The sequence below is a fragment of the Homo sapiens genome, chromosome 8 (genome assembly GCF_000001405.40).
Source record: "Homo sapiens chromosome 8, GRCh38.p14 Primary Assembly".
NCBI lineage: Eukaryota > Metazoa > Chordata > Mammalia > Primates > Hominidae > Homo > Homo sapiens.
The window spans coordinates 124,754,883-124,767,807 of record NC_000008.11 but is presented as its reverse complement, the minus strand read 5'-3'; the positions used below and the strand labels follow the sequence as shown (position 1 = coordinate 124,767,807).

General features: G+C 43.4%; 1 long non-coding RNA gene across 1 annotated transcript in view, besides 1 other annotated feature; it reads right to left on the bottom strand.

Moving 5' to 3' along the window:
* Window positions 10,116-10,275: a silencer, noted in NCBI's record as "silent region_19515". NCBI's record gives its function as "represses an Ori minimal core promoter by ATAC-STARR-seq in GM12878 lymphoblastoid cells {active_cell/tissue: GM12878}" and the evidence as "EXISTENCE:reporter gene assay evidence [ECO:0000049][PMID:35858748]".
* Window positions 10,435-12,925, bottom strand: part of LOC105375741 (uncharacterized) — a 28,835-nt gene continuing 26,344 nt past the window's right edge. The window contains exon 3 of the long non-coding RNA XR_002956670.2: window positions 10,435-10,725. This is a non-coding gene — a long non-coding RNA (uncharacterized LOC105375741). The remainder of the gene's footprint in view (window positions 10,726-12,925) is intronic.

Genomic DNA, 12,925 nt, shown 5'->3' with positions numbered 1-12,925 from the left:
CACACATTTGAACTGATCCCTTATTAAACTCCCCACAATAATGCCTTTAGAATGGGCCATCTGTCTCCTGTGGGGATCCTAGGATACACTCTTAGAGAAATCCTAATAGCTACACCCTGTACTGTTTATGAATATGGACTTTGGAGTCAAACAACTCTGTATTTGAATCCCAGTTTCACTACATACAGATCCCTATGTGGACTAGGGCCACTTACCTAACCTCACTGAGACACAATTTCCACATTTATTTAATGAGGATAAGAATACTTACTGCATAAGTGTTATAAAGAAGGAATAAGATCATATATGGGAAATACTAAGTACTCAATCAATGGCAGCTCTCACAGGTATCCTAATTGCGGAGTGGGGAATGGGGACAAGTTAAGCAACAGAAACAGGGAAGTGTGAAGACACATGTACCCTGGTGCCTCCTGTGGTGAGGACTAGGCTATCAATGAAGAAAACCCTTCCAGGGACCCAGCAGGACGGTATCCCAAAGCTTCCCTGGCTCCTTGGAACTGCTGCAAGACTTTCAAAATAATAGCAGGAAAGAAAACCATTTGTCTCTTTATTTTTATTTTTTATTTTTTTGGGATGGAGTCTCGCTCTTTCACCCAGGCTGGAGTGCAGTGGTGTGATCTCGGTTCACTGCAAGCTCCGCCTCCCGGGTTCACACCATTCTCTTGCCTCAGCCTCCCCAGTAGCTGAGACTACAGGCACCCGCCATGATGCCCGGCTAATTTTTTGTATTTTTAGTACAGATGGAGTTTCACCGTGTTAGCCAGGATGGTCTCTATCTCCTGACCTCGTGATCCGCCCACCTCGGCCTCCCAAAGTGCTGGAATTACATGCGTCAGCCACCGCGCCCGGCCTTGTCTGCTTTTTTTTTTTTTTTCCATCAGTGTGAGACCACAGAACCCACCTTCCCAGCATCCTCCTCTTTGCTCTCTCCCCAAGAGTCACAGCTTGCGAGGCTTCTCAGGTGCACGTTCTCTAATTGTGCAGAGTGAGTGGCCTGTTCTGAAAACACAGGGCAAGAGAGAGCAGACTGTGTCCAGGCAAGCAGTCAACTTCTCCATGGAAATGCCAAGGTCAAGGTAACCCAGGGCAAAAGAACAGTCGAGGTTGGAGTCAGAAAGAAGAGAGAGCAGCACTAGCCCTTCTGCTGGTAGCTGCAGAGAAACAAAAGGGGGCTTTCATTTGTCTCTCTTCTGCCATTTCTGTTTTCCTTTCTGGCCACATAGTCTGGCTTTCTAAAAACCATGAATTAATTGCCTGCATTCATGTGTCTCATTTATTCCACGATTCACTTCTCCATTTGTCCATTCACTCTTTCATTCATCCTTCCAACTCTCCATTGACTGATCCATTCATCATTCATTTGCTCACTGGTTCACTCACTTATTCAAGGATTCATCCCTCCATTCATTCACCCATCAAAATAGCATTCATTGAGTACCTTCTTACTATCCTGTGTCAGGCACAGTGCAGCTGTGTGTGGAAAGGAATAACATCACCACATATATCCTGCAGAATCCCCAATACCTAGAAAGAGAATTAGGGGTTTGTCAAGAAGCAAATAAACAATCCATGCAGAGGGAGCGGGATTTAAAAATGCATGGTGTCTCCGAGTGTGGTGCCCATGCCTGTAATCCCAGCACATTGGGAGGCTGAGGCGGGCAGATCACAAGGTCAGGAGATCGAGACCATCCTGGCTAACATGGTGAAACCCCGTCTCTACTAAAAATACAAAAAAAAAAAAATTAATCGGGCGTGGTGGTGGGCGCCTGTAGTCCCAGCTACTCAGGAGGCTGAGGCAGGAGAATGGCATGAACCCGGGAGGCGGAGCTTGCAGTGAGCCGAGATCGCGCCACTGCACTCCAGCCTGGGTGACAGAGCAAGACTCCGTCTCAAAAAAAAAAAAAAAAAAAAATGCGTGGTGTCGTGAAAGGGTATGGTTTGCCTGCATGATGGTGAGAAGTTCACTTTGATGGGAACACAGGCACTAAAGGGACTGGGAGGCTGAGGAAAGACAGGAGCTGAGGGTAAGGTGGAGGCGCCCTAGATGAATGCCAGGCCAAGAAGTTTGACCTGATCCCACAGGCACCAGGTCATCCGCTGGTTTTGCATTAGGAGAATGGGATGTTGAATTTTTTTTAGGAAGAAAGTTCTGCCAAGAAAGGAGAGACTAAAGGCAAGAAGATCAGAGAGAAGGCTTAGGCTGAGCTATGGGGATGGAGGTGAAGAATATTTGAAGAATGTTTCTGAGGAAGGTTTGACAGGTCATGTCTCTAAATCCCATCTAAATAAAAGCAAATTTTTAAGGAAAAATACTTTTATGTTTTGTTCTCCTTTCTCAGGACATGTTGAAGCCATTATCCAATCCAGAGCATTAACTATTCCACGGGCCCTTAAACAACAGGACCAGAATGACTCCCTTGGGCAACAGCCCATTCTTAACTGTAGCCCGGAGAGTAATGAAGCCTTGGGCTTAAAGAGATATTCTCTGTTCATTCCTGATAGAATCTTCCAGATGCTCTCATTTTACAAATGAGAAATACCAAGTGAGGCCCACAAAGGTTAAGTAACTTCTCAAGATCGCACAGCTTAAAAGTGACAGAGCTGAGTATAAAACCCATGCCTACTGAAATCAGACCCCAGCCTTTCTACAACAACCCTAAAGGTACACTTACCATTCTATGCACAATTAGACTACAGCTGAGAATAAAATTATGGATAGGGGCCCCATGTCCTTGCTCATGCCTGTAATTCCAGGGAGGCCAAGGCAGGAGGGTGGCTTGAGCCTAGGAGTTTGAGGTTGCAGTGAGCTATGATCGTGCCACCCCAGCCTGGGTGACAGAGTGAGACCCTATCTCTAAAAAAGAAAAAATAATTATCAGTAGGGTGTACAAAGAAAATAACTGCTGTGTAGGAGCCATTTTTTTCATGAAATTTATTTCATATTGCTCTAAAGTTTATTTAATGTCTACAAACTTGAATTTATATACATATATGTTCACTACCATGTGTGCATACATATCTATATATACACACTATATTATACATGGCACAAATGAGCAATATTGCCATGTAATCAAAGAAGTTAAAAAGGGGGAATCTAAATTCTTTCCTGGTGGTGGTCTCCTTCTATCTCTGAGACTTCTGCAAACTTGGAACGTAATTCAGACTGTCTCTGAACAATTCTGTGTAATGATTCCATATAATTCAAGGATCCCGGAAACTCCCTTCTTCCCTCTGGCTTTCTTCCTTCCAGTATACTTCTCCTAACTGTCAATCCCAACTCTGCTTCTTGCTTGCCACCTCAGCATCAATTCTCACTTCTGCATGTTTTCCTCCAACTGTCCCTTCCCAAGGCTTCACATCAGCCAAGTGCCACAGATGAGAGGTCACACCGGCCAACTGGGGATCCAATGTGGCCCACGTCATGGTGGCCTACACCAGATTTTAAAATTTGGAATTGAAAAATTAGCTGGGCATGGTGGCAGGCACCTGTAATCCCAAGTACTTGGGAGGCTGAGGCAGGAGAATTGCTTGAACCCGGGAGGTTGCAGTGAGCCGAGATTGCGCCACTGTACTCCAGCCTGGGCAACCAAGCAAGACTTCACCTCAAAAAAAAAAAAAAAATTGGAATTTGTTTTCAACACTTAAAAATCAGAAAAGTTTACATTTAAAAAAAAATTAGATTTCTGGCTTCTCTTGACAAATTGAAAGATCTGGCAATACGGAGCCTATAGTACCACATGGCAATCATTGTCCAGAAGGCGTGCTGTTTGGTTCATCACGGTTCTTACCCCCTGCCTACTTCATTCTTTCATGTAACTTGACTGACCCCAAAGACATTTGCACCTGAGATCCTTGAAGGAGACAACTGTTGGCCTGTGTGAATTGAAGCCCCTGCCACTTGTGGTATTTCTGAGGATGTGGAAGATCCATGACATAGTATTTTGTGATTTAACTGATGAACAAGTGAATTTGACTCAGGTATAGACATATGAATCAAAGAACGTGAGAAATCCCAAAGAGCATAACATTTGTTCCTAGCTTTACTGAAATCTAAACAGCAAAAACTGTATATATTCAAGTTGTAGAATGTGATTTTTGAAATATGTATGTGTTAGGAATAACGCTAAAAAATTTTAAGGAAATTGAACACTTGAACAAAGGATTTTTAGCAAAGCAATTTTATTTTTGGGCAGAGGGGTGCCTCCTTGGCTAGTCGCCATGAGAGCCCACCTGAACAAAGGGCACGAGAGCCTTTATTTTTGACGGCAAGTCTTGCCCCTGCACTCTTTCCCCATTGGCTGGGGTCAGGCTGTATAATTTAAAATAATCCCAGTTGGCTAAACGTTTGAATTTTTTTAGGTAAGGTGGGCACGTAAAAGAAAGTGGAGAGGAAGGGGAAGGGGTGTGTGTAATGAGCTAGAAAGTTAGTCTTCTTTTTAAATAAGGAAAGGAACGTGAGCTGGTACTGATAATGCCTGTCCTGTGGCGTGCCTGGGCATCTAACAAATGCAAAAAGGAAAAAAAGGAGAAAAAGGAAAAAAAGGTGGGGGGGGGGGCGTTATTATAAATTAAAGAATAAAAGATTGATTAGATTATTTGAAGAGAAACCTCATCATATTCCACATATACATTGGGAAATGATTACCACTATCAAGCTATTAGGTTGGTGCAAAAGTAATTGCAGTTTTTGCCATTACTTTCCCACAACTCAGAACTTACGCAGATGAATGGAAGCCAAGGGCTGACAGGTTTCAGATTTGATGATGAGATTGTAAAGAGATTCAGCATGTAGTGGGATTTGGGTTATACCACATCAAGATCCTGCCCAACACTGAGATTTTATGGTTCTATGGTTTGGGGAACATGTTATCTTTTAGAAAGGATGGCTCTAGGACTGTTGGAAACACACTTTTATAGCCAATGTGCTTTTCAGATGCCCTTATATCCAGAGTCAACCAGGGTAAAATTATGTTCTCACCAGAGTCTTGTTTAACATCTTTCTTCTTCTCTCTTTTGTCTATTTTCCTTGCACTTCTGACACTTCTCATTGGATGGTTTGTAGGGCTCAGAGAGCCTGTGGTAATTAAAAAGGCCTGTCTCTGGGGTCAGACTCCAGATTAGCTCTAGAATTCAGCCCTTATGAACTGTGTGATCTTGGGAAAGTGATACGACTTCTCTGGGCCTCGATTCCCTCATCTGTATTATTTGGAGACAATAGTGGTACCTACCTCATGAAGTTGTTGAGAATATTAAGCAATACATCTAAAATAACTATTAGAGGTTCTGCCATGAAGAAAAGGCTCAAAAATATCATCAACAGCAAGACCATTATTATTAAAAGAGTCAGCTCCAGAAGTATTTGTCAAAAGTGACTTGGAAACACTGTGTTCCCTGAGGAAAGGGCCCACATTCTTGTTTATTTTCTAAATTCTTGCCCCTAGCAGAGTTCCTGGTACATGTGGATGCTTAATAAATGTCTGTAAATAGGTAAGTGAAAGAATAAATGAGTGGATGAATCAATAGAGGTTGAAGATTAAGAGATATTTCTGTTGTAAGGTTCTACAGAGGTTCCAAAAGAAGACAAGGAAGGTGGAAGAGGAGGAAAAACACTCACCGAGTGTTGCGGGGAAAACAACAGCTGACGAGGTTAGTCAAAGAGTGATTCATGGGCCAAATAAGCCCAAAAGGAGAAGTTCCCGGTACCACCCCACAACTTGGTGGTGGAAACTTTGAGAATTAGTCAAGAGGGATGGCCCCAAGGGACCGTTTTGTACTGATTTGGGTTTCAGGGTTGAGAGAACACGATGGAAGTTTTCAGAGTGAGGCACTTGGGTAATCTATTTTGGAGGAATTATCTGGAGAAAAGAAAATGAGAACTGCCGGTAACCTTTGTGTGATTGCGTTAAGGTAGGAAGGAGGTGATTCCAGGACATTCTCATAGCCTGGTTTTTCAGGCCCAGTGCGCCGTGGTGTCCCATGCGAATTACAGTTGGAAATTTAACAGTGTGATGACGTGTGAGATAGACTAGCAAAGAAGCAAAGTGTTCATAGTGAAGAGACTGTGTCCTACATGGGAGGGGACTTTTTAAGCAAACTTTTTAAGATATAAGATTGATAAAGGAAAGTACATAAATCAGAAACGTACAATCCATGAATTTTCAAAACATGGAATGTCTACATTGCCAGCATCATGATAGAGAAGTGAGTTCTAAACATAACACACACTGCGCCCATCTGGGATATTTGGCAGAAAAGCAGATTTCTTGGCCCCACTGCGAGAGACTGTGATTCAGTAGATCCAGCGTTTGACCCAGGAATCTGCATTTCTGTCTACACTGCTAGATTCCAGTAAGGGTGGTCCACTGGGTGAGAACAAGCTTCAGAGTCATGCAAACTTGCACTTGGAATCCTACCTTCTCCTTGAGTGAGTAGCTTGACCTTCTCACAAAGACAGTAGGGGCAATAGTACTTCCTCATAGGTTTGCTTTAAGGATTAAATTAGAAAATGCATATAAATCAATAAAAACTGTTGGGCATGGTGTTGACCACACAGTAAGCACTCAGTGAACATAGAAAAGCATAAACGCCCACAAAAAAGACGAGGCTCGGTCCCCAGGTCTTTGTGCCCAGCACCTAGTCCAGAGCTCATCACACAAGGCTAAGGGAGTATGGTGTGAGAGTTAGCAACACGGGTGATATGGTTTGGCTCTGGGTCCCCACCCAAATCTCACCTTGAATTGTATAATCCCCACGTGTTGTGGGAGGGACCAGGTAGGAGGTAACAGAATCATGGAGGCGGGTTCTTCCCATGCTGTTCACATGATAGTGAATAAGTCTCAAGAGATCTGATGGTTTTATAAAGGGGAGTTCCCCTACACATGCCCTCTTGCCTGCTGCCATGTAAGACGTTCGTTTCACCTTCCACCATGATTGTGAGGCCTCCCCAGCCATGTGGAACTGTAAGTCAATTAAACCTCTCTCCTTTATACATTACCCAGCCTCGAGTATGTCTTCATTAGTTGCATGAGAATGGACTAATACAACAGGTTAGCAGTCAGATACCCTGGGGTGTGAGTTCGAGTCCTGGCTTTGCCACTTACTAGTTATGTAATCTTGGGCAAGTTACTTAACAGCTCTGACTCAGTTTCCTTATCTGTAAAATGAGAATAATAACACCTACTTCATAGGGTGACTGTGGGGATGAAATGAGAGAATCAGGAAAGACCTGAGCCCTGAGCCCTGAGCCCTGAGCCCATGGCCTGGTCCCTGCAAAGAGCTCAATAAAAGTTGGCAACTCTATGATTTACAGCTGAAGCTGAGAATGTTCCACCCCTGGGCAATAAAAAGGTACTCCTCAGAGGCATTCTGAGGGGAAACAGGCCCCTCTCTCTGATAACATTAGCTAAATGCTTCTTTGAAAGAGCAGTGTAATAAAAAGGCTAAGAGTTGGATGTTTATTACTAGGCCAAAGTGCTACTACCGTGATTATGGGCCAGGTGGGACTGCCAGTGTTCAGGTGTTTATACCTTTCAAGGGGTTGCAGAGATGGGTTGATAGTGAACTTTTTGCTCTGCAATGGCAAACTGTTATTTAACTTCTGCCAAACGCAGAGGATAAAATTTGAATTGTTGAAGGGGGTTGGGGGAATCAGGCTATTCTCAGCTACATTTTTTGGTGCTGACATCGGGGTTGGGAATTTCCACAAATCCAGCCTTGACTTTGAAGACTGGTTTTCAGGGGTCATTCCAAAGTAATTTATTTCTGGAGAACTAAATTATACTGGTCTTGGCTGGACATGGTGGCTCACACCTGTAATCCCAGCACTTTGAGAGGACCAGGCCGGTGGATCGCCTGAGGTCAGGAGTTCTAGATCAGCCTGGCCAACATGGTGAAACCCCGTCTCTACTAAAAATACAAAAATCAGCTGGGCATGGTGGCAGGTGCCTGTAATCGCAGCTACTCGGGAGGCTGAGGCAAGAGAATGGCTTGACCCCAGCAGGCAGAGATTGCAGTGAGTCGAGATCATGCCACTGCCCTCCAGCCTGGGTGACAGTGTGAGACCCTGTCTCAAAATAAATAAATAAATAAAAATAAATTATACTGGTCAATTTCCCAAGAGATGGAGTATAGACACCATTTCAGATTTCAGTTTGCCGTCTCCTGTGTAAGGTATCTGGGAGCCATGCCTTAGAATCAGAGGTTCCAGTCCTGCTACTGATAAATCAGGTAGCCTTGGGCAATTTATTTCAACCACTTTTCTTCAACATGTATAAGTCTAGCTCTGGGCTAGGCACCGGGAAATAAAAACAAAAGTACAAGACATGATCTTCATCCTTAAGAGCAAGGTTGTCATGCATAGTTGTACAGGTTGGAAACTGCCCAAGCCCATTCAACCAAGAATGAGAGGAGGGGCTCACATCCAGCCCGCATGCTGGTCACATGGGACAGACTTTTATTTTCCTGGAAGAAAAAGTGCCTTCTACTAATTTGCACAAAGGTGCTAGATGGGCCAGTGGTAACTTTCTTGAGAAGGTCATGTCTGGCTGCTAACACAGAAATAGAAATAAAAACTGCTTTTCTTCATGACATGAAAACAAATAATATATTTTTTCTCATGTAAAGAGTGGTTGAGAAAACCAAATGGGAGAATACAGATGAAAACACTTTACAACAACACGTAAAAGAGAATTCAGCACTCCTGACAGCACAGTGGAATCATCTCCTCTTGCAAACTAGCTGTGTGATGTTAGGGAAGTCACTTTACTTCTCTGGGTTTCATTTTCTTCCTATAGAAAATAAATAAGCTGGATGAAAAGAGTGGATATCTAATTTTAGTGTACGTAAGAATAACTTGAGGAATAACTTGGTTCAGAGAAGCCAGTTGAGCAGGTCAAGAGTTGGAATCAAGAATCTGTATTTTGAGCCAGTATGCCAGATAATTCTGATGCCTATGGTTGGCAGGCCCAATGGATAAACACAGGCCCCTTCCAGATCCAGCTTCTCTAAGCCTGTGTTCCCCTGTGTTACCGCACACAGAAGTCTTGATAAGAGTGAGGTGACAGGAAAAATAGAGAATAACATCATGATCCCTAACCTGAACGTAATGACCTTCCAGAGGGGCTTAGCAGCAGGAACTTTCTGCCCCCATCCCCAAGCTGAACTGGCAGGCCCTGGACACTCATCAATTACACACTCAGGGATATGGTCACTTTGCCTGGGCTCACACCACTCATTATCCTAACTGAAAATCAGGGCCAACTGGCCCTAACAAATTCTCCCTTGGTCTTTGTTTTTTTGAGATGGAGTCTTGCTCCGTCACCCAGGCTGGAGTATACTGGCGCGATCTCGGCTTACTGCAACCAACGCTTCTCGGGCTCAAGCCATTCTCTTGCCTCGGCCTCCCAAGTAGCTGGGATTAGACGCACCTGCTACCATGCCCAGTTAATTTTTGTATTTTTAGTAGGGATGGGGTTTCAACATGTTGACCAGGCTGGGCTGGAACTCCTGATCTAAGGTGACCCACCCACCTCATCCTCCCAAAGTGCTAGGATTACAGGCGTGAGCCACTACGCCTGGCTCCTCTTGATCTTTCTGAAAGTACAAGTCAGTAAATGTCAAAACAAGCCTCTGGCCAGCCTGAAAATTCTGCCATCAATAAGCTATAAACATCATTGGTTGGAATTTGTGCTTTGGCCTATTTGGTAGTGATTCCTCCTCCCTTCATGCAGTCCTCAACTATCTGCTAAGCCCTGACACTACATCAGGTAATGTGAGAGGGGTTGCGATACAGAAATGAATAATGGGCTAGAGATAGCTGAACTCCTCCTGCCCCCCATCACAGCCACTAACGCATAAATCACTGTCTGAAATCCAAAAGATTTTTCATGCTGTAAAGCTGTTTTTGTCTAGTAGCTTCCACCTGAGCCAACTGGCATTTTAAACAATGTCCTGGGACTCAGGACAAACAAGTCCACTAAGGTAACTGGAAACATCCAAATGGGGAAAAAAGTCAGTAACTTAACAAAAATGCAAGAGTTCCCCTGCCTTGGCCAGCATTGACTTTCACAAACGTAAGTGAGAACATTTTGCAGCTGCTCACGTAAGTATCACTCTTCTGTTCCAACCCAAGTTTCAACCTCACTGTCTGCAGGTTTGTCTGAAAGCCCAATGTGGTTGACAGTGGTCGGAAAAAGAACCACAGAACTGGATTGCATGGTCTACAACTATCAGATCTCAACCACAATGTCACTGTAAGCATAGGGAAGGGTTTCTTTGCCCCTGATTTCTAAATACAGTTTGAGCATTCCTAAAGCAAAACCTGAAATCCAAAATCTGAAACTGTTTGAGTCTCCTTTTGGACATAATGCCACAGAGGAAAATTTTACACCTGACCTCATGTGATGGTCACAGTTAAAACAGACGCATGACAGTTTATTCAGCATCCCCAAGGGAAAGGAGACCCTCCCAGCTGTGATGTATCTTTTCCGAGCATACCCACAAAGGGTAATAAATGCTACGTGTGCAGGCTGGACCCGCCAGTGGCAGGTTCCCCATGATGCAAAGAAGACTTCTAAGACAAAACTGTTGTTGATGAGGCAGATGACTCTGGAGGAAAGATTTTTTAAAACATCCAACAGAATGCCTCCTCCTCCCTGGAGGACCCACTTTTGGTCCCTCAAGTGCTTCTGATGTTTCTTCTCACTGCAAAAAAATAAAATAAAATACAGTGCACAGTAACCTTTTAGTCAAAACACAGCATCACAGGTGGAGACTAAAAGCCAGCCGCTGTTTGTTGCTGCTGTTGTTTAGCAGGTGATCCAGGTATTTTGGTGATGCACTGTGCTGCTTCTTTACCCTGAACACACGATTTTTTACTGTATTAATGGTATGTCCATTTTGTATTGCTAGGTCCTCATGTGTGAGTAAATATGAGAAAATGATTGTTTCTCAGTAGCATATAAATTCAGAGTCAGGAATGGTGGTGATGCCAAACAACCACAGATTGTCCATGTGGGTGGCTGAGATAGTGACATCTTTGCTTTCTGATGGTTCTGTGTACACAAACTTTGTTTCATGCACAGAATTATTAAAGTATTGTATAAATTTACCTTCAGGCTATGTGTATAAGGTATATACGAAATAGAAATGAATTTCATGTTTAGACTTGGGTCCCATCCCCAAGATATCTCATTATGTATATGCAAATATTCTAAAATCTAAAATCTGAAAAACTTTTGGTCCCAAGCCTTTCGAATAAGGGATCCTTCATCCTTATTTATAAAACAAAACTTTAGGTTCTCAAACTCCTTTTCCATCTGTGGGAGGTACAGAAGGAATGAAAGGGATGTCTCCCTCTTATTCCATGCTGGGATGGGCATGGAGAAAGTGACTTGGAATTAACATTTAGTCGACACCTACTGTATGCCAAGATCTTCCTTTTTGTCCTTCACACCAGCCTCATAAAGTAGAGATTGTTTTCCGCCATTCACAGATAAAGAAATTGCAGCCCTGGTAGATTCATCCAACGTGCCCAAACACACACCCAGTGACCAAAAAAAAGAGCCATTGCTAACGTTGGTGAGCACTTCCCATGAGTTAGCCCTGTGCTAAGCACTTTTATAGACATTATTTCACTTACTTTTCTGAACAACTCTATAAGGTGAATAGTACTGTTATCCCCATTCTATAATTGAGGAAACTGAGATTTAGAGAGGTAAGTAGCTTGTCCTGCATCACATAGCCAGTAAGTCTGGAGGAGAGAGTCAAGCTTTGGTCAGGAAAATACAGTTCAGACACTCTATTTAGACTCTTTCGGTCAGCTGGGCTTGAAACTCTGTCCTTGCTTTGTGGGGGAACAAAGTTTATTGGATAAAAAAATGGAGAGAAAGAGTGAGCCCCTACTGAGTATGAGGCTATACTAAAGGAAATAAAAGATGTTGGACTTGGGCTCTGCCCAGATTGTCTAGTAAAGAGAATAGATGTTAAACAAAAATATAACTCTAGCAACTGTGATATAATTGCTATTATATAAACAAGCAAATCCTGAACGAGCCCAGAAGGAGTGCTGATATGCAATGGAAGAAACTGAAAGATGTCACTAAAGGTGACATTTCAGTTGACATTTACTCTAATTTTCTTGTTTTAAAGTGAGCAGTGAACATGCTTCCCAGTGCCCATGCCCTTCCCCACCATGATGCAGTTCCCAGCTTGGGCTGGCACAGATCCAATCCCCAGGTCCAGCTTCGGGCCCTGGCTACAAACCAGGGAGACCCCCTCCTGCTTGCCTTGGTGTAAGGATGGCATGTGATCTAAGTTCTTCTAACCAAAGTGAAGGCCGGGACGTCTGCTTGATGGTTTTCAGTCAAGAAGAGTCTTCTTCCTCTTCCTTTCCCAGGTGGCACATTCCCATGTGGTCTGGACCACTACCACATTCGTGCTACCAGGGAAGCCAGGCTAAAGGCAAAGCCAAAACAGTGAGAACAGTTTGGCCAAAAGAGCTACAGAGAAATAGATCTGGAACCCAGGCCCGAGGCCTACACTACTTTGATCTGGAATAGATCTGGAACCCAGGCCTGAGGCCTACACTACTTTGGACTTTTTCAAGAATGAGCTAATGAATTCATATATTGCTTTAGCCATTTGGAGTTAGGTTTTTCCATTATTTGTCACCCAAAGCATCCCAACTGATCCAAAGTCTATTTTTAGAAATGTGTGAAGATAGCCATAAAGTGTTTTACTCTTGATGTCATCAGGATCAAGTATCGTGGTCTTCTGGTTTCAAGAGACAGAAAAACCAGCCCAAACTAACTTAAGCAAAAATAAAACGTATCAGCTGAAGAACATGAACAGTTAGGGAGTAAGGTGGGCTGCAGGCGTAGTTGACTGCAAGAATGCAGACAAA